The sequence below is a fragment of the Homo sapiens genome, chromosome 11 (assembly GCF_000001405.40).
Source record: "Homo sapiens chromosome 11, GRCh38.p14 Primary Assembly".
NCBI classification, from domain to species: Eukaryota; Metazoa; Chordata; class Mammalia; order Primates; family Hominidae; genus Homo; species Homo sapiens.
In genome coordinates, this window is record NC_000011.10 from 92,660,262 (window position 1) to 92,682,910 (window position 22,649).

Genomic DNA, 22,649 nt, shown 5'->3' on the forward strand with positions numbered 1-22,649 from the left:
TGCTGGGACAAGGTGGGGGTGGGGAGTTTATAAAGGTGCCTTTAAATGCATGAAATAGATGCTTTTCCTACATTGACACTAGCGTCCCAACAGAAGGATGACACCAAGAGAGTCTCAGTGTCTTTTATAATGTCCTAGAAAGTGATGAAGGCTGGGGTAGGGGTGCCAGGGATCAGCAGGGGCTGGGCAATGAGATAAAAAGGTCTTTTAAGGCTTAGAGCAGAGGTGTGTCTGCTGAGATGTCCAAGAGCAATAACCAAACAGTCATCCTAGGTCCAGATTGCATCCTGCTCTTGCCAGTGGAATCTTGTCTTAAGCATGATGGAGTGGTGTTCCATGGTCAAGACTTTTGAGAATGGTTGAAATTAGTATAAGAGCTAGTATGATGTCAAAAAGAAAACAGGAAACAAGAACTCTGGGTCTCTCATGCTGTGATTTCAATCGTGGTCTTAAACTGTGGACATGGCCTTTTCTTGTTCTGGATTTTATGGCTTTGAGACAAAGGTAAACCACAGAGTCAGCCATTACTGACTTCATGGGCTGAAGGGCTTTCATCATATAGCTGTCACTTAGAATCTTCTCTACAATCATAAGCACATAAAATATGTCTTATTCTAGATTATGTCTTAAACAGCAACAGCTGTCTTCAAGGTGGTGATTTATCAGCATTTAGGTCCAATGGCAATAAGAGTTGTATCAGCAGACCTAGTGAAAGTTAATCATTGAAAAAATATTATTCTACCTCTACATCTACACATAAGTATTTTAATCTGGGCAGTTCACTAGGTGAGTATTTGATTATGAAGTAACAATAGTCACAGGAGTAAGCAAAATAAATGTATTTGGTAGTGTTGGAAATGGCTCAAAAACCCAACAGTAGCCAGTAGAGCTGGGAGGCAAGGCAGGGGTGAGCCAGCAGAAGAAGGGTGGCTTTCCAGGGAAGGCCCATGTGGTCAGCTGTTCAGACACTGACTGTCCAAGTGCACATCAAACACACAATTACATCTGAGGCAAGGATACACAGAAATATTCAGGGGATAACCTTGATTAAAGATGGTCACATGAAGCCGACAGAAAGGTGTGTGGTCTTTTGAACCCTGGCAGTCATCCATGATATATCTAGAACTGCCCCACAGCTCTGAGAGGAGATTCCATTACCATATGTGGTGAACCCTTGAAATAAATTCAATTCCAAGATCCACATCCTGCCTCTGAGGACGCCCTAGCATCCATAAAGACAGTTTCACATGTGGAATCTGAGGTGTAACGGATGGGCATTAATGTGTGTGGTGTGGAGTGCTTTTTTTTTTGCATTCTGCTATAATGCACTGGTGTCTTCTTTTTTTAAGAATATGTTGACACATGCCCATTCAAATAAATAAATGGTCCCGTTTCTACCGATCTGTTTGGAAGCATCAAGAAATTCATGTGGGGGAAAAAACTCATTTCTCTTTAGAAATTGCAAAGAGGAATGTTTCAGAAAGAACTGAAGAGGAGAGGCATTTAACAAATTATCAATAAATCAGCATCTAATTTTTTCCTAATATAAGCCCTGGTTATTTATATAGTTCAGGTGGAGATTGTGAGAAAGGAATTATAAGATGGAGAAATACAAAGAATCTTTGTGTTTTGTTGGAGAGCCAGAAGAGCTTCAAGCAGATGTAAGATGCATGCCTTACACATCTGTGAATGTGGGTGATTATTATGTGGAAAAGTGACTCTCTTGGTAGCCAAGCAGAAGAACTCTATTTTTTTCTACCTCTATATTAATATTATTACGACTGTTATTACAATTATCAGAATGAGATTAACATACCAGACCAGACCAGTATAGATACAGAAGGAGTTGTGTTTTATTACCAGAGTCTAAGGACATATCCATTCCTATTGGCACTCAAAATCCAAGTTACTAGTACTGTGTCAGCTAATGTGAAATAAGAACAGGGCATATTATGCCAGGAGCCATTATCAGGAGCAGGCACAAGTAAGATGTCAGCCATGGAAGCATAGAAGAAACTAGAGGTGGCATTTGGGCCTGGGGAGCATTTTCCTACTTGTTTCTGCATTTCTAATTCTTGAGTGATGAGAGAATTAACAAAGAAGAGGATGCCTCTTCTTTGAGGTCCACTTCTCATTACTCTGCTTCCTTTCATGGAGTAACTGTGTTAAAATGGCTCAGAGGTTGAGCCATGTTGTTTTCCTGGAAGATATTAAACTGCTGACAACTGAGGTTACAGCCTGGATTTAGCCATAGTCAGAGTCACAGATGCCTGTGTTTTCATGCAAGTAGCAAAAATCACTAAAAACATCTAATGAGTACATAAACATCAAAACCTCACAATTAAATTGCCAAAGAAAACACATTTTCCCTCTTCTTGTGTTCTGTTCATGGAAGTCTTGACACTTTGGGCTATGCAGGAAGGGTCATGATACGTAGAGAAGCCGGATGAACACCAGAGAAAAAGGAAGGTCTAATCTTTGCAATTTTGTCAGCTCACTAAGTCATTTGTCATGTTTCATCACATCATCTTGAATTCTTTATTCCCCACTGGGAACTGACTGATCAGCCCTGAAGCTTTTAGCTGGCAATGTGATAAGAAGTCTCTGTGCTCCCATGAGCACAGCAAAGAATGTTGTATGCTGTAAGCCCAAGGAGCCATTCCACTCAGCACTCCTTTAGTTAGGATGTCCTGTGGGAATGGCCCGGTTCCTCACAGACTCCAGTTCATTGCTGGAGACTGGCTTAGGAAGACTGTGATGGGGTAGGCTGGAAGACATAAGACCATGCACCAGGGGTGGGAAGCACGTGTTCCGGAAGCCCAGAGGAAGCGGAAATTTTTTAGAACTAAGAGAGTTTGGGGGAACACTTTAAGGCCAAGCTAGTTGAAACCTGAGACAGTTCAGATTTCAGCACCTGGAGTGAGTCTGGGTAGAAAGGGAATTCCAAGCTTTGGAAATAAGAGCAAGTATGATGAGTTGTATTGCAGGAAGGTTGAGTGGTTTTTCTGTCTTGAGCATTCAGGTTGAAGGAGTTAAGGGTGGGAGAAGAGATTGAGACTAGGTCACAGTGTGCATTGAAGACCAAGATGAGTTTGCACCTGATACCACAGGCAATGGAGAAGCTAACGGAGATTACTAAGCAGAATCAGACCTGCAGTTTAGGGAGAGTATAGTTGCTGATGGACTGAAAAATATAACCATCCCTCTCCTGAGCTTGAGACTTAAATAGCAACTGCCTCTTGAGCAGCGACTCTGTCTGGATTTTATGTGTAAAATCTTACATCTGGCATGTCCCAAAGTTCTACCAATGTAAACTTACTCCTCCTTGTCAAGAAGTAGCACATACACCTGCTCAGTTGGTCAAACTGAAAAGCACATTAAAAAAAGTTATCGCCCTTAAATGCTGTCTCTATCTTCCCACATCACACTTGTCGTCATATCTGATAGATCCAAATTCCCTCTTCATGAATCTGCTCATTTCCTCTTACTCATTGCCACCACTTTGGCTTAAAGAAGACCCACACCAGCCAATTCCATTCATTTTTTATCTTCCCAGTCCAGCTTTCATGTGACTGCCAGTTATTGTTTGAAAATAGAGATGAGCTTATGTAACTTTTAGCATCTTTTGAGATTCTAAAAATCACCACTGGTTCTCTTCTACCAAAGGCTAAAACCCTGCTCCTTAGAATATCATAAAAGAACCTTCATAATTTGCCTTTCTCTACCTTTTCTGTCTTCAATCTTGACACGACCCACCCTCCCCCAAACACACACACACAAAACCGTGAGTGGTCTTGTGTTTTCCAGGTGTATATGCTCATTCTCATCATCACTCTTTTACACAAAATACATGTTCAGCATGGCATGTCCTTTTCTTACTTGGCAAACTCCTACTCACCCTCAGAAATCCAACTGGATTCTTTCCTTTGTTGCCCCTTCAAAGTGATTGGCTTACTACTCTGTGCTCCAGTAATTGAAAGTACATAAAGTGACTAGTTTAGCATTACTAATCTATTGTATTGTAATGAGCTATTTTACCATTTAGGCTTCTTCCACTAGGGTATGAGCTGCTTGAAGGCAGTGATGGTCTCATTGATCTTAGTTCTTCTTATGTCATCTGATACTCAGGAGATGGTCCTCAATATCTGTGGATTAAATGAAGGACAGAGATGACTACAATCTCACATTTTGGTGTGAGATTGATTATTGATGTGCTGTTTCTTAACTAGGCTCTCAAATCTCCTTTAAGTTTGCCTTTTGTTATTCTATAAAATGAGTTACCAGAGATAAAACATCTAACACAATATCTGTGGTTGGCAAATGTGTCACTCCTACCAACACACACATGCACACTTTTTAAAGAGATCATTTATGACTCTTTAAAGAAAAATAATTACCAGTGTAGCTTATGAAAGAGATCATGAACTAGGTAATAAATTTGATACATGCTTTCATCCCAGAATTTTAAACATTAAATTAACTCCTGATCCTTTAGAAAAACATCTTTCTTATGCAATATAGTCAAATTTTACATTGATTGTTTACTTCTTTGCAATTTGAAGTGGATGCTTTTATGAATTCCTCACTTTCTATTTAGTGCTTCTTCCCATCCCCACTCCCAACAAGGGTGGATGGGTTATTTGTTTTGGATTTTGTTTGCGGATTACATTTAATAAAGAAGGAACACTTGTAATTTGGTCATATGTTTGGTCTGAAATATCCACCCTAAAAATCCTCAGCAAGGGGCCACATTTGTCTCATTTGTCATCCATGACAGTTGCAGTGCTGATCTGCACTCACGTTCCTCCAAGAGCTTGTTAGGTCATTTTTATCCAATTCTGTTCTACAGTCAAAATCATTTTAATATTGTAAGATGGAAGAGGTTAGAAGAATCTCTGTTTGCCTCAAAAATAAAGATTCCTTCAGAACCTCCCACAAATGCACGTTGGCATTTGGTTTGAATGCTACTGCCCCGAGTTATCTGACCTCAGTTCGTCTCTGCTGTGCACTTGCCAGAGACGAACGGTTGACCAGATGCCTCTCACAACATGATGTTGTCAAGTACAGAAAAATGACTCCAGTAAAAATAACAGATTTTTGAAAATTTAACAAGCACCAACTGTAGTCATGTTCATCTGGTTCTGTTGACAGCAAGGTTTCTCTTTCTAATTAATAAAAGAGAGAAGAAACAAAATATTCAAAATAGGAAAGACTAGTAATAGCAAGAATTATATTTTTCAGAAGTCTCCTAGAGGTAGTTCTTCTAGAGTTTTTGTAACTTCCCTGAATTGAATTGTAAAGAAATTGGTGTCATCTCAGTGGCTGATCACTGAAACCCTAAAAATTATGGGAATGACCACAGATCAGTCACATGTGAACTCTTCTTTTTCATTTTAGTGGTCTCAGCTCCAAACTCTGGGAGGAAAATGGTCTATTTGCCCATGTTCTCCTGTCTAAATTGTTAGAGTCCTCCCCTCCTCTCTTCTTCATGATACTTCAAGAACTTTTATGTTCATATTATCATGTAGCCATGGTGTTACAATGACAGTGACATTTCCTGTGGTGGAAAGATACCGGTTCCTCTAATTTGGTCTTCCTTCTCTTCTACTTAGAACTTGCTTGCAATAGGCCAGACATAGTGGCTCATGCCTGTAATCTCAGTGCTTTGGGAGACTGAAGCAGGAGGATCACTTGAGGCCAGAAGTTTAAGACCAGCCTGGACAACATAGCAAGACCACATCTCTAAAAAATTTTTTTAAATAAAGGCAAAAATAAAAAACTGCACTCTAAGCTTATATTTTTCTCTATTTAGCACTCTGTTCATAAACACCTTAACCATCTCACTTGATACAAATTTTGTGACATTACCTGTTGGCAGCTTGCTGCTAAAAAGTGGCTCAAAAAAAGGGTTCAGTTATAAAAGTAGTAAAAGTAGTAAACTAGGAACATCAAGCTTGAGAGGAGTCAAGATAAAACATATCCATTTGATGATTTAATTGATAAAGGTGTTAATTTGGCTGAGGAGCAGCTAATACTTGATAGGTTAATATTATTTTAATTTCTAATCCATAATTATGAATCAATTTGAAGGATTTTTTTTTTTTTTTTGAGACGGAATCTCGCTCTGTTGCCTAGGCTGGAGTGCAGTGGCCTGATCTCTGCTCACTGCAAGCTCTGCCTCCCGGGTTCACGCCATTCTCCTGCCTCAGCCTCCCGAGTAGCTGGGACTACAGACAACCGCCACCACGCCCAGCTATTTTTTTTTTTTTTTTGTATCTTTAGTAGAGACGGGGTTTCACCATGTTAGCCAGGATGGTCTCGATCTCCTGACCTCGTGATCCGCCTGCCTCGGCCTCCCAAAGTGCTGAGATTACAGGCATGAGCCACTGTGCCCAGCATTGAAGGACATTTAAGACACATTCTTAAGGGGTAGGTTTCTGGTGTGAATTGTTCTGCTAAAGTGAGAGATAGCAACATGGCATAGCACTGTGGTGGGTGAAAGGGAAGGTAGGAGAGCTGAGCTATAGTCCAGCCATATTGCCGCAAGACAGTAGAAGGGGAAAGAGCATGAAGCAAGGGCATGGGAGCTTATCCTGGACCAGCCTGAGCACACATCCCATCTCCTCACACTCCATTGGTTGGAGTCATTCACATGGTTGTGCCTATGCTGCAAGGCATAATCATGTGAGTAACCCCAGCCAATGGGGTCTAGTCGTGAGGAGATGGGAAGTCTAGTCCAGCTTTGTTTCCAGGAAGAAGCGGAAACCAGCTACACCGAGAGCTAGGTATCTCTTGCCAGCACAGACCAGACAAAGACAGATAATTTCTGGGCCTCAGTTTACTCACCTGTAAGATGAAGGAGTGATGCCTAAGGTTCTACTTGTAACTTTCATATCTGTGATGCCAACTTGGTATTAGATCTGATTTAGCTACACATGTGCATTTAATTCTTAAAGGAACTGTCCACCATTTAAAACATTTTTATAAGCTAGTGAGACGTGGCAGCATCCGTTTTGTTCAAAAGATGTGTCGTGTGGAGTTCTTTCCTGTGCCTGGCAAGTGGGATGAGGTAGGTGCTTCTTGCCCTTCTCCACACCTTCTTGTACCCTTTCCCCTCTTACTTAACCCCAGCAGGCTCATAAACAAAACACAACGGAAACAAAAAACCAAGAGAACATCACCACACCATCATCACCCCTCCCGTCCAAGGTAATTTTGAACATGGGCCAATTTCCTTTAGGATAAAGGCCATGCATTCTGGCAGATCCCTTTGGAAGTTTGAAGCCAGAGTGCTGACAGTCAAGATCTTATTGAATGGGGCTGCCTGCAGAGGAGCCAGTGCTGATTAACGACACACACACACAAGCCGCCCAAAGAATGTTGGCTCTTGCTGGGTCACTGATGTCATCCCTAGCAACAGGTGGCAGCCCCCTTTCTCTGAGCCCTCCTCGAGGAGGTCCTAGTGTTCCCAGTCATGAATGAGGAACAATGAGGCATCCACGGGGTTAACTGCCACTTTCACTCACTCCTTTGTGGAGCTGGGGCTTTTCCCATAGAAATGTCATTGGCCTGAACTGATTTCTTTTTTTCTACTGCCCAAATGTCAGACTCTCATATAAAAGTGGATCATGTGCATCTTTTGCCACCAAGGCCTTTTCAATAGCAGCATAATGATGTGTGTGCTTTCCTTGTGCAAATAGAGGTGAGCCTGTCTCAGGGAAGGGTAACAGGATGTGAGCCTGCCTTGGGCTCTCCATTAGGAAAGATCATCAGAGCAGCATGAAAGCTGCATTGCTTGTTGAGCTCATATTTTACCTTTATTTTTGTCTCCTCTGGTTTGGGAGCAGAGCGTGTCTTTATGACTGGAAGGCAAGATACCAAAGTTGCAAGAACTTATCCAGAGTTCTTATCAGAAGTTGCCAAATGAATACAAATGAAATACAGTAGAGAATTATCAGGATAGTGGTTGGCCAAATATGACATCAATTAATAGGGCTCAATTCTGTTACAGCAGTAAGGTAGCCTTTTTGCAAATACACATCTTCAATACCTTCTATGTATTCTGCACATAAAATAGAAGACACAAAGAAGAATAAGACATGGTCTTTACCCATAGGAGATTCAGGATAGGATATCAGAGTGGGCATGGAAATCTCTATTTCTCCAATAATCCAGATGGTTCCAATTCACATGGGCCTAACACTGTGTCACATCTTAGTAGAAAGAGAGATTGCCATGGGGATGGAGAAATAAGACTGGGTGTTGGACTCACAAATATGGGCTTGTATCTAGACTCCATCACCTGCAAGCTGCGTGACCTTGATCAAGTTATTTAACTTTCCTGAACCTCACTTTTCATTATTTGTAAAATGAAAAAATAATACCTTCCTGCAGGACCTTCATGAGATTTAGAATAAATGTATGTCAAATTCCTAGCACCATGGATGACATAATTTAAATTACTTAGCAAATGGATCTGTTTTTACACTAGGCCTCAGCTACTTCGATCTCTTATATGTAAAATGTGAGGATTGGATCAGATAACTTCTGAGCACCTTCTAAGCTTTAATATTCTGTGGTGCCACTTCAGCATTGGTGTAAACTTTCAGGATCGGTTGTATCGAGCAGCATTTAAGTTCCCCAACAAGGGAAGGAATCTCTTTCTTAGGGATTGGGTAAAATGTGGAAGTCATGAGCTACTCAGGGCACTTAGACAATAGCACCAAAGGATACCTGTGGGTAGACATAGCTGTTTTCAGTTATTTTAATTTACAAGATTACAGGGGGTCCTGTGAAGCATCCCTGGTTTTCCAAGACACCTTCGAAAGTACCATCAACTTTGACTTTTCTAGATCTTTTTTCATCTTACTTGTGGTTTCACCCTGTTCCATGCTCTAGGATAAAGCATCTAAGTTAACTCTTGCAACCTCAAGTAATATGTTCTTTTTACCTGGAGAATTAATTCTTTCACCCTTGAAGGCTTGGGCTTGGCTTCAGACAGATCCCGGCTCCAAAGTTTTCTAGCTTTGTGATCTCACAAAGTCCCTTAATGCATGTAGAGTGATGACTGCAAAATGCATACTACACAGCTATAGTGCAAATTGAATGAAATAACTGGTGCCTCTGCAAGCACATAGGGGAGTCCTCAATACTCAACAGCTCCCTTTTATTATTTCATAGGCAAGCCTGTGTGCATTGCGTTTATGCCTTCATGAATATGCAGATATTGACAACATCCCTCTTATGCCTCTTGATCCCAGATCTGGTCTGTCCTACCCAGAATTTATGCTTTAAAGACAATACCAGTTCCTCAGCACTTTGCCTGTCTTTGTTCTGACCCCATATGAACAAAAAGCCAGTTTTTGCATTCTGGGTTAGGGTAAGAGGGGTTGGCCAGTATATCCAGAGGTGGGGTGGTAATTAACAGTGGTTAAGAACATGTGCTTTCAGGACAGGCAATCCTAGTTTCCAATTCCAGCCCAATCACTTCTAGCCACAGGCCCTGGGACCAATCATGTACTGTCTGAACTGCTGCTCCTAATCCATAAAATGGGAATAATCATACCAACCTTGCAGTGTGATTGTGAAGATTATATGAGAGCATGGAAATTAATCGCTAGACAGCTGTTACTACTATTATTCAAAATAGGCAGCATGGACTGCAGAAGGAAAATTAATCGGAAGTCCAAGACCTAATTTTGCCACCAGTTGGCCACATGACTTCAGAGAAGCCATTTAACCCCTTTGTGTCAGTTTTCTAAGCTGTCAAATGGCACAAAAATTATTCTTGTATGGGTACCACAGTGGTGTTTTCTGGCTAGAAGATAACATAAAAGTGCTGTTAATATTTTTATTAATGCTCTAATTTTTTCTTTTTGCTGCTGCCCGGAGATGGCTGCTGTTCCTGGTGACTTGGCATTTGCTTTATAAACATACTTTTGAAGCACAGGCAGCCTCTTGTTTCTCTTAAGCCAGTATGTTTGTGATAGGGAGGTTTTATTGCTTTTTGTTGAAATAACTGTTTTCCATTCTGGAGCATTCCTTAAAAGCAGACTTCACACTCACAAATTTCAGATCCTCCATGCCCATCAGCACAAAACTAGAGCCTATCCCTATCCAATTATACAAAATCACTGTGCAGCCTTTTCCAGATAGGGATCTGCAACTGCGTTACATGTTTCTTTATTAATGAAATGCTGCAAATAGCATCCTTTTAGAGGATACTCAAATTACCTCTGGGAGGAAGCACTTTGTTAATGTGTCGAACTGCCTTGTTTGGGGGGATGAGTTGTGTTGACATATCAGGTATCCTTTTGAGCCAGCTCGCAAGTGCCTGGGAATTGGGGCCAGACTTTTTCATGACACAAGTTTCCTGAATTCCATTGCCTGAAATTTTCTGTAGCAGAGTGGAAGCTAGATTATTTACCTTGTGATAACATCTGCAAAAGAAATGGCTTGAGTTTCAAAAGAGAAAAAGCATTTTATAAATGGGTCACACCTGTGGCAGGGAAGTGAGACAGGTTAGGGTGAACATATTGTCTGGACATAAAAACACTCTGTGTCTAGCTGGAGCTTATTCACAGGCTAGGGGAAGGCTCAGGAAGCCTCTGAATCCCAGGCTGACAATCAGTCATGTCACTCCTTTCCTCAAAAACCCTTAAGTAGCTTTCCATTGCTATAAAACTAAATTTTTAAAAAATCCCAAGCCTGACATTCAAAGCCCCTGCATGCCCTCCAGCCTCATCTGACACCATCACTCCTTGGCTCACGGTTTTTGTTTTTTGTTTTTTGTTTTTTTTTTAAGACAGAGTCTCGCTCTGTCATCCAGGCTGGAGTGCGGTGGTGCAATCTCTGCTCACTACAACCTCCGCTTCCTGGGTTCAAGTGATTCTTGTGCCTCAGCCTCCTGAGCAGCTGGGATTACATGCATGCACCACCATGCCCAGCTAATTTTCGTATTTTTAGTAGGAACGGGGTTTCGTCATGTTGGTCAGGCTGGTCTGGAACTCCTGGCCTCAAGTGAACCACCCACTCAGTCTCTCAAAGTGCTGGAATTACAGGTGTGTTGACTCACACTTTGAAGCCACACTAGCCTTCTTTCCGTTTCACTAGTTCATCAAGTTTTTTCTTTACTCACCAATTTGTCACCATAATTCATTCATTAATTCATTCCAGAAATTATTTAATAATGGAAACATGCTGGTTACTGCCTAGAACATTTGCCCCCGTCCTCAGCTTGACTAAATTGTGTCCTTCTCCCAGGACTCACCTTTAAGGTCTCTTGATCAAATGGGCCTTCCCTGTACACTGAAATCTAAGTTTGGTCCTCTCATCCTTTTTATTGCATTCACTAGTTTTCCTTCAAAGCATTTATTGTTTCCAATCCCATATTTGTGCACTTATTTGTTTAACATGTGTCTTTCCTGCTAGACTGTACATTCCATGAAGGCATGCATCGGATCTGTTTTGCTCTTCATTATATCCCTTTACATTTGAGTAAGGTGCTTAGATAATAGTAGTGGCTTATTAAATAACTTCTGGAATGAATGAATGAATGAATGTGGCTGGGTGCAGTGGCTTACGCCTGTAATCCCAGCACTTTGGGAGGCCAAGGCAGGTGGATCATCTGAAGTCAGGAGTTCGAGACCAGCCTGGACAATATGGTGAAACCCAGTCTCTACTAAAAATACAAAAAATAATAATAATATTTACCTGGGCGTGGTGGTGGGTGCCTGTAATCCCAGCTATTCAGGAGGCTGAGGCAGGAGAATCGCTTGAACCTGGGAGGCGGAGGTTGCATTGAGCCAAGATCATGCCACTGCACTACAGCCTGGGCAACAAAAGCAAAACTCTGTCTCAAATAAATAAATAAATAAATATTTTTTAAATAACGAATGAATGTGATTTCTACCATGTTTAACTGCTAACCAAACAGAAAAAAATATTCAGTAGGTACCTTCTCATCCCCAGACCTACTCATCAAATCACATTTCACAGGACTTGGTATTCTCACATCATGATCACATTTGAAAGACCCTTTTAGAGTCAGGCATCCATCCACATGCTCTGCAGCCTGCCCATTGTCAGATGGGCAGGAAAATCTAGAAGAAATATCTTTATAGCAGAAATGGACTTTGCAGTGTTTCCAGACATTGAAAATGTTGAAGTAAATATTGCTGAAGACCCTTCCCTTTGTTTTAAATGGTTGTCTCTTAGAATGGAAAGTCTCTGGAAACCATATTGTTGTTTAGGCCCTGGTGACAAACAAAGTAGCAGAATGAGGGCAGGTCTTTGTGCCAATTAGAATTGCCAAAAAAATATATCAGTCAGCATAGTGGTCCCCACCCCTTTGCCTCTTTGGGTGATACACAGATACACAGATTAAGGAGCATATTTAGAGGCAGGTGACCATGATGGAACATGAACTGAAATATTTGAATCTGAGAGAGGAACTGGGACATAACAATTATCTTTGGAAGACAAAGGAGAGGTCAGTGTTTGTCATCACATATTCCAAGAGGTGCCAAGCAGAACAGGAGTAGATTTTCTTTTGTTTTGCTGGAAGGCGGAACTCAGTTAATATTATAGGAATCCATCTTTCAGTCACTGTGAGGAGGAATTTATGATTCCTCTTTTGGATTCCGAAGTAAAGGGTAACCTGTCATAAAGCTGTAAGGAGAATTCAGGTAGAGGTTGGTTGACCATCTGGTAGTGATATTGCAGAAAGGATTCATGTATTGATTCTGAGATCAACTCTAAAATTTTCCAACTCTAACAGTTAATAATTCTTATTCTGTTTTGGATTATTACTAAAAACCACTCATCAGTTTGATTTAGCTTTTAATTTAGGCTACTTTACTATAGACCTTGGGTTCAGAAGGTCAAGCTAATTTTTCATATTGATTTTAAAAAGGGAATTAAATTGAAATTAGGTTATTTCCTCAATTTTATAAGACCAGCTCATATTTGGGGCTCCGCAAAGAAGTCATAAACTACAAACATTTTTCTAAGTGTCATTTTTATTTATACTTTAACTTAAGTATCCAATTATGTTCAATTCAATAAACACTAGTGAACATCCACTATATGTATTCATCCAACGAAACTCTATTGCATATTTATCATGGGCTACATTGTATTAGATAGTGAGAATATAGCTGTTTTAGATAACTCATGGTAGAGTTCAGGCAAGTACATCAGCAATAACAGGTGTTTTGATATGGCAGTATACGAGTGCAAAGAAGACTGTATAAGCCATCCTGGGTGACAATAAGGGGTTGGGGAGACTTCCTAGTGGGGGTTAACTGATAGGCACTCAGATGCAAAGATGGTTGCCTCCAAAAGTTTACAATTAAGTTGGTATTTTGGTGTTCAGAAGATGCCTCAATGGTGCTATGCTATGTTAGTTTTTTATGGTGCACTGTTTTCTTAGCTATGACATGATCTCTATGCATTACTTTTCAAACTAGTCTGGACTCCAATCCTGCAATTTAAAAAAATTTTCAGGAGTCTGGAATGGAGATGGTCCCAAATCTGAACATTGGTAGGAAACCAGGTGAGTGAGGAATCCTCCTAGACTTCCAGGAGGATAAGATTGATAAGTTTCTATGTACTTATCAATAGAAACACTTGTTTTGGGCCAGGTATGGTGGTTCATGCCTATAATCCTAGCATTTTGGAAGGCCAAAGTGGTTGGATCACTTGAGGTCAGGAGTTCGAGACCAGCCTGGCCAACATGGTGAAACCATGTTTCTACTAAAAATACAAAAATTAGCCGGGTGTGGTGGCACGTGCCTGTAATCCCAGCTACTCTGGAAGCTGAGGCAGGAGAATTGCTTCAACCCTGGAGGTGGGGGTTGCAGTGAGCTGAGATCATGCCATTGCACTTCAGCCTGGTTGACAGAGTGAGACTCCATCTCAAAATAATAATAATAATAATAATAATAATAATAATAATAAAGAGACACTTGTTAAGACAAATACTGGGTGTGATGGAGAAAGAAGGAGTTTGGAGATGTGGAGGATGGACCACTGTGATATTGGTTCCTCTAAGGAGCTCCTGAGCTTTAGGACAAGGAGAAAGAAAGAGATTTATGGGTGTATACTATGATGCACAGGAAAGCATGGATTTTAGTGCTCTGAGAAACATTGAGACCCTGGAGTCAGTAAGTTAACTACTCCCTCTTTTCCCCCTACTCACTCTAACCCTGCTTATTGGTTCTGAATTATGTTACTTTACCTTACTCCTTATTTTAATATTAATTTAATTAATTTTTTTTAATGCAGAGTCTCACTCTGTTGCCCAAGCTGGAGTGCAGTGGCGTGACCAGAGCTCCCTGCAGCCTTGAACTCCAGGGCTCAAGTGATTCTCCCACCTCAGCCTCCCAAGTAACTAGGACTACAGGCATGCTCCACCATGCCCAGCTAATTTTTGTATTTTGTGTGTGTGTGGAGACGGGGTCTCGCTATGTTGCTCAGCCTGGCCTCAAGCTCCCATGCTCAAGCGATCTTCCCACTTCGGCCTCCCAAAGTGCTAGGATTACAGGCATAAGCCACTAGCTCAGCCTCTTTATCTTACTTCTTCAAGGCATAAAATGATCTAGAAAAAAATGCACATAATGAGGATTTTGGAAGGAGCACGATAAATGAGTTCTGTTCATTAGGATGTCTTCATAATTAGGCCCTCCTCTGAGAATTAGAACTGCTAGGTTTTATTCCTTGTTCCTCCTCTGAAATTGATCTTCCTCTGTCTCAGTTTTCTTATCATTTTAGTAGGATGAGAATGCTTGTTACCCTCATGATTTAAAAAGGTGCCCTGAGGATTCATTTCCTACAGCTTCAGTAGTTGAGAAATCTAATTCTCAAGCAGGAAGCATGAGTATTATTCTCTTTGTGGTCCTTGAGAAACATTTATCGTCTGTTTGCTCTACCAAGAAGCCAAACTAACAGTGAGAAAAACTTGTCTTCTTAGTTTTAGAGAGCATCTCATCTGTGCAATTGGAAAAAGAAAACAGTTCCTAAATGTATAGCTTGGTCATTTGAGAATCTGTTCTTTGCAACTATATAGTGGTGAACTTCACAGTATAGGAGAAGGACCTAAAGTTCATCTTAACAACACTTAAACTTAAAACTCAATGGGCAGCAATTAGGAGAAATTTAAAGCATACCCAAGAGGCTCCAAAAGTAAATATTTCTCTGGGCAGATGTGTTATAGCTGAATTAACTGGGTGTTTGTGCAACTGCAATGAATTGGAGAGATAACAGTCTTTATTGCCTGTAGATGTAGCCTGTGATTTCAAAATACAAGCGGTGTTAAATGTTCCCAGTAGAGGTTCAGGCAGTTTGCTAAGCAAACCATTGCTGCTGCCAGGTTATAATCATACTGTCTTAGGTTATTTGTCCAATTCTAAGTAATGAGGTTCCCATCACCCTCCATTTGAGGTGCGTTTATCTTACAAGAACTTGGGTCAAATTGAACTTAAATTTAACTTGATCATATTCTCCGCTAAGAACCATTCGGAGAAAAGTGAAACACAAGATTCATTTCTCTTGTATTATTTCTTGTTTAAAGGTTTTGCAGGAGAAAAAAATCATCTCCCCTTTTAGGTTGATTGGGTAATTTTGGGTGATCACTCCAGTCTCTCACTTTAGCAAGTGAGAAAACTATAAAGAGGATGCTGCTGCCTGGATGTTCTGGTCTTTTGTTTTCATCCTGAGACTGTTGACAGGAGCAACCTTCTGTGAGATCCCTGCCAACATCTAATAATAGGAGAGGGTGGCAATGAGCATAGAGATGGAGGCCACAGAGATAAGAAAAAAGAAAGTACGGATGCTTTTAAAGCAGCGAGCAGCAAATATCTGTTCTGGCTTACAATAATTGTTGTTACGTCTACTGTAATATAATACATTTAACCAAAATGAAAACTATTCCAAATGGAAACTGGTTTAGTTTGGGCCCAGCAGAGGACAGGATAAGGCAGTTATTCGCATGTGCTTGTCACCTATAATGCTTCAGGCTTCATGCTAGATGCTTTATATGTATGATCATAATTTATATTTCTAATAAGCACATACAGTTGGTCTTATTCCTCACCTAACAAATAAGGAAATAGAGTCTGCTCAGTGTCACACAGAAATCAAAATAGTAAAGTTTGGACTGAAATCCAGTCTGCCTGGTTCTGGTTATCTTAAAATACAGCTAAGCCCCTCATGATTGTCACTCAGAGGTAAGAAATGGCAGGTCTTATATCCAAAGGGCCACACCTGGAAACCTCCTGAAAGAGGTAAAATTACCTGGTGCCCGGCCTGAAACCGTTCCATTTCAATACATTTTTGTTGAGTGAATCAAAGAATGAGATGAAATTTAAACTGGACTCTGAAATAAGTAAGATTGAGAAGAAGTGGATCTTAGTCAAAGTGAGATTGTTCAATTACGGGATGGCTGGAGAACTTATTATTGTGTATTATTTCTTATTCATAGCTATATATTTAGGCCTGAAAGAGGAGAGACTTTAATTGCTGTTTCATTTTAGCTGAAAATACTTTCTATTTGAAACAGATTATTTAAAGTTGTCTTATTTGGACTCTCTCATTTATATCCATTCTCTCAACTGGCACTTATTAAAGTACTAAGTACAGGCACAGTGCAAAGGAGAGTTAGAACTGGAAAGAAAGGCTGGGATCTGGTCATAATGTGCTCTGAATATCAGGTTGAGTTGGGACTTTAGGCTACTAAAGACACAGTTGTTGAAATGTCATGGATGATGGTAAATGGATGAGCTACGTGGTTAAACTAGGTTATTATTATCCCTGTTACAGGCGAGATACTGGGTCACAGAGTGCTTGTGTGACTTGCATAAGATCATAAATTATCTAAGGCAGAAACTTAGATGTTTAGCCTTGTTCTCTGCGCTCTAGAGCTTTTTCCATTTTCTTTTGGTGCAGCCTCTCTTACCAAAAGCCACAAAGTCCTTTACCAAAAACAGTGACATGATAGAAGAAAAGAGATACAGAACTGCCCCATTTATACAGGAAGAATACACCTGGGTAAAAGGGATATGTAAGTAAGAGATCCTTGCCCGGAGGAGCAGAGAGTTGCTCTGATAGTCTCATTTGCAAGAGGCTAAAATGAACTCTGAGATTTGAATCCAGTCCATTGATACAAATGAGATTAGATATTTTAACCTTCACACTGACCTCTTTTGTCTGATGGCAGCAGTTACATCCATCTCCCTGGAATTTTCTGCCAGCAGGATTATCTTTTGTGCTCCTATAACAGAATACCTGAGAATAGGTAATTTATAAAGAAAAGAGCTTTATTTCTTGCAGCTTTGGAGGATGGAAAGTCCAAGGTCAAGAGGTTTGCATCTGATGAGGGCCTTCTTTGCTGTCTCATCCCATGGAAGAAAGCAGAAGGGTAAGAGAGCAAGAACTCACAGCCTCAAGACCTTTTGTAATGTTACTGATGGAAGGTCTTGACTGCTGATCGTCCAGGTTATTGGTGTTTTGAACAAATAATTGGACAAAACACACAAACGATGCAATGACAGAATGAAGCAACAAAAGCACACATTTATTGAAATGAAAGTACACTCCACACAGTGGGAGTGGGCTCCAGCAAGTGGCTCAAGAGTGCTGGTTACAGAATTTTATGGGGTTTAAATGCTTTCTAGAGGCTCCTCATTGGTTACTTGGTTACACCCTATGTAAATGAAGGAGTGGTCCCAACCAGACTGATTGACTGTGGGAGGTGACCAATCAGAGGCTGAAGTGAAGTTACAAAGTTCGCTTTGTGACTTCAAAGTTAATTACAATTTGTAACTACAAATGTGTAACTACAAATCACCCTGTGCAAATGTCTGGTTGCAAGAGGGAAACAATCAGAGGCTGAAGTGAAATTAGAGTTACACCCTATGTACATGTTTGATTGGTTTTGGGAGGGGATCAATCAGAGGCTGAGGTGGAATTACAAAGTTACACCCTTTGCACATGAAGACTGGTTGCAAGAGGGGACCAGTCAGAGGTACTTCTCATTTTTCATCTGGGAGGCAGTGCAAAGGGAGTAGCCTCTTAGCCTTTTGTTATTTGGGTGTGGAGAGGTGGAGTTTTCCTTTTGATTCAGTTCTAGGAACTCAGTGTGAATCGGCCTTAGGCTCTTTACCTCCAGACCCTATTCTCCAGCCTCATTAATTAGCATCAATCCATGCATGGAGGTGGAGCCCTCATGATCTAAACACTTCCCATTAGGCCTCCCAGTGCTGTTGCACTGGGGATTAAGTTTCCCACACGTGCCTTTTGGGAGAAACTTTCAACTGATAGCAAGAATGCTGATCTTGAGGCATTGCTATGAGACCAAACTTCTAATAATGACTTTTTTTAATAGTTGGCCCCTTAAGACTCCGAGTTTTTTAAATAAAACAGAGCTCTAAGGCTTTCTTAAATATATTCCAAGCTCTCCATGTTCAATTAATAATTTAATTGCTTAGTAATTTACATCTGGGTAATTATGTGAAATTATAGAAGTTAAATATACTTTTTTAACTTTTTTAAATTTGCACAAATTTATGTGGTACATGTGCAATTTTATTACATGCATAGATTGCATAGTGGTCAAATCATGGCTTTTAGGGTCTATCCATCACCCAAATAACATACATTGTATCCATTAACTAATTTTTCATTATCCTAGCTTTCTCATCACCCTTCTGAGTCTTCATTTTTTATCATTTCACTCTCTACATCCATGTGTACACATTTTTTAGCACTCATTTAATCGTGCAAACATGTGATATTTGACATTCTTTGGCTGGCTTGTTTCACTTAAGGTAATGACCTCCAGTTCCATCCATGTCGCTGCAAGAGACATGATTTCATTCCTTTTATGGCTGAATAGTATTCCATTGTGTATATATACATTTTCTTCATACATTCGTCTGTTGATTCCTTAGGTTGATCCTATAGCTTTGTTATTGTGAGTAGTGCTACAATAAACATATGAGTACAAGTATTTTTTTTTTGGTTTATTTATTTATTTATTTATTTATTGGAAGATAACCAGTAGTGGGATTGCTAGATCAAATAGTAGTTCTATTTTTAGGTATTTGAGAATTCCCCATACTGTTTTCTATAATGGCTAAACTAATATACATTCCCTCCAGTAGCATTTATGAGTTCCCTTTTCTCCACGTCCTCATCAACACCTAGTATTTTTTGTTTTTTTAATAATAGCCATTCTAACTGAGGTAAGATAATATCTTACTGTGGTTTAAATTGCACTTCTTTGGTGATTAATAATGTTGAGGCCAGGCACGGTGGCTCACGCCTGTAATCCCAGAACTTTGGGAGTCCGAGGTGGGCGGATCATGAGGTCAAGAGATCAAGACCATCCAGGCTAACATGGTGAAACCCCATCTCTACTAAAAATACAAAAAATTAGCCAGGCGTGGTGGCAAGCACCTGTAGTCCCAGCTACTTGGGAGGCTGAGGCAGGAGAATGGCATGAACCCGGGAGGCGGAGTTTGCAGTGAGCCGAGATTGTGCCACTACACTCCAGCCTGGGCGACAGAGCGAGACTCCATCTCAAAAAAAAAAAAAAAAAAAAAAAAAAAGTTGAACGTTTTTTCAAATACCTGTTAGCCATTTGTATATTTTCTTTTGAAAAATGTCTATTCATGTCCTTTACTCAAGTTTTAATGGGATTTTTTTGTTGCTGTTGTTGTTTCTTGTATATTCTGAATATTTGTCCCTTGTTTGATAAATAGTTTGCAAGCAATTTTTCCCATTCAACAAGTTGTCCATTCACTCCATTTATTACTTATTTTGCTGTGCAGAAATTTTTTAGTGTGATTAAGTCTCATTTTTCTATTTTTGGTTTTTTTTTTTCATCTATGCTTTTGAGATCTTGGCCATAATATCTTTGCCTCAACCAATACCCAGAAGAGTTTTCTTTAGGTTTTCTTCTAGTATTTTTATAATTTCAGATCTTCCATTTAAGTCTTTACTCCATCTTGAGTTGATTTTAATATAGAGTGAGAAACAGTGGTCCAGTTTCATTCTGCATATGGCAATCCAATTTTCCCAACACCATTTATTTTCTGAAGAAGCTATCCTTTCTCAATGTATGTTCTTGTCAACTTTGTCAAAGATAAGTTGGCAATAAATGTGTGACTTTATTTCTGGGTTCTCTATTCTGGTCCATTGATCTATGTGCCTATTTTTATACCAGTACCATGTGGTTTGGTTTACTATAACCTTGTAATATAATTTGAAGTTAGACAATATGATGCTTCCAGCTTTGTTCTTTTTGCTTAGGATTGCTTTAGCTTTTGGGGATCTTTGTTGGTTCCATATGAATTTTACGGTTTTTTTTCCTAAAAAATTAAATGTACTTAATAACTATATAAGGGAAGGGCAAGGACCACATTGAGTACTTGTTGCATTGCAAGTGCTTGCAACACATCTCATCTCAATTCATATTCACTCTTCTTCCCATGAGGTAGATACAAACTTTTTCATTGTTTGGGTAAAAAAGCTTAAGCTCACAGAGTTTAAAATCACTTGCCCAAGGTCATTTAACTGGGCAGCAGGGAGGCTTGGTACTGAGCCTGGATCCTTCTGACTCCCATTCACTGTCCTTCTTGCTAGTTCCCTGATGGGAAACATCTAGAAACTTTTAGTGGTAGAGTCAAAAATGGTACTAAAAACATTCAATATGAAAATTCAAATAGGACAAAAAGCATGCAGAATATTTAAATGCAAGGACAGGAGGGCTTCAGCAATGTTTGGAAGTATTTTTTATATAGACATTCATTCTTTCATTCAAGAGTCATTTAGTGAGGGCCTAGTATGTGCCACAGCACTCCTAGCTGCCATGTATATGACAATGCATACAAAAGATCGAGATGAAATGCCTTTTTGTACCTTACATTCTAGAGAAGGAGCTAGACAATAGATAAGTGAACAAATATGCCCACAGGATGACTTCAGACAGATAGGGATGGATGAAAGTAACACAAAGCAGGGGAGACTTTAGGTGATGTAAGCAGAGAAGGGAAGGATTCTCTTGGGAGGTGACATTTGAACTGGGATCTGTTTGAAAAAGAAAGAATTAGCCATGCAGACATCTGGGTAAGAGAGGAGGACAGGAGAAGGGTGTTGCCAAGGGAAGGTCAAGGGCAAAGGCTTATGGCAGAAATGAGCTTTATGTGGTCAAGGAACACGAAGAATTTCAGGGCAGCTGGAACCTGGTAATAAATTTGCAATGCTTTGGTGAATTTAGTAGAATGTATTTGAGGTGTAAAGACTTTGCTTTCAGAAGAAAGAGGTTAGCAAGTGGGAGAGCTGGAAAAGCCCATAACCTAAGAGCAGAAGCCCTCAGAAGGAAGTAGCAGAAATCTAAATGGTGAAGGTGCTGCAGAGCTCTTAAGAGAAGCATGGCATTTGAATCCCTTTAGGGTCTCCTTCAGCTAATGGGACACCACATGACATTTAATTGGATTGCTCCTATAAGAGCTCAACGGCTTAAGACAGAAAACACTGCCAGCACATCAAATTTGCACTTTTCTGAAGCAGTATCAGTGTGGGAGGGAGGAGGAGGGGGGCCCAAACTCACTGGACAATGCAAAGCAAGCTTAGCTTCTTATCTGAAGATGCCTTTCCAGTGAATGAAAGAATGAGACAGAATAGAAATAAAGTGTGAAAATGGGGAAACCATCCCTGTGCACTTTCACATATTGTGGTTACATGGTGGAGTAATTCTACAGAAATAGTGAAAGATAAAATTTAAAAAGGAGTCCTGTGTCTTTGTGGTTAAGAATAAGGATTCTGGAGTCAGACAACTTGAGTTTCAAATCTCTTCTCACCTACTCATTGCAAAACCTTAGGCAAGTTACACGGTCTTGCTAAGATTCAATCTCCTCAACTACAAAATGGGGGTAAGAATAGTATTTAGCAACTTATAGTAATTTAGAATTGTTATGAGGATTCAGTGAAATTTTGCATGTAAAGTACTCAGCATACTGCCTGCCACATAGGGAATACTCAGACAATTTAATTGGTTGTTAACTATGTCAGGGAAAAGCTGTGAGTTTTTAGAAGCATGTGATTATGTGAGAAAGAAAAAAAATCATAAAGCAGTTCTGAGTGTTTTTGAGCAGGCGCATTACCTAATTGGAGCTAAGCATTGTTTGAATGAATCTAAGTCACTGCTCCTAGCTGGGCCTTACTTTCCTCACCTGCAAAACATTGGATGCAGAGCCAACGTAATAATCGCTCTCACTCATGTTGGTTCAGCCTTGACAATCTACCATTTGGGAAGTTAATCACAAATACTTGGCATTCAGTTGCGAACTGAAACTAGGGTGATCAACCATCTTAGTTTCCTTGATATTGAGGGATTTCTTGGGAAGTAGTACTGAAACTTTTCATGCTAAAACCAGAACAGTCTTGGGCAAACGGGGATGGTTGGTCACCCAACAAATGTGTTCTGAGAGGAGGACAAGGGAATGGGGAGGAAGTGCTATTTAAATGGTATCTGGGCCAGGTGCGGTGGCTCAGTCCTGTAATCCTAGCACTTTGGGAAGCCGAGGTGGGCAGATCACCTGAGGTCAGGAGTTTGAGACCAGCCTGGCCAACATGGCAAAACCCAGTCT

At 40.2% G+C, this 22,649-nt stretch overlaps 1 protein-coding gene across 11 annotated transcripts in view, besides 2 other annotated features; it reads left to right on the plus strand.

Annotated features, from left to right (window-relative positions):
* The window catches only part of FAT3 (FAT atypical cadherin 3), a 671,656-nt gene that overhangs the window by 435,444 nt on the left and 213,563 nt on the right, over nt 1-22,649 (plus strand). The gene's annotated exons all lie outside the window — the stretch shown is intronic.
* Nucleotides 7,137-7,709: an enhancer, noted in NCBI's record as "NANOG hESC enhancer chr11:92400564-92401136 (GRCh37/hg19 assembly coordinates)". NCBI's record gives its function as "activates a minimal SCP1, AML or CMV promoter by ChIP-STARR-seq in primed H9 embryonic stem cells {active_cell/tissue: H9 hESC(primed)}" and the evidence as "EXISTENCE:reporter gene assay evidence [ECO:0000049][PMID:30033119]".
* Nucleotides 11,666-11,876: a silencer, noted in NCBI's record as "fragment chr11:92405093-92405303 (GRCh37/hg19 assembly coordinates)". NCBI's record gives its function as "represses an EF-1alpha promoter that drives an FKBP-Casp9 reporter gene in an ReSE screen in K562 erythroleukemia cells {active_cell/tissue: K562}" and the evidence as "EXISTENCE:reporter gene assay evidence [ECO:0000049][PMID:32094911]".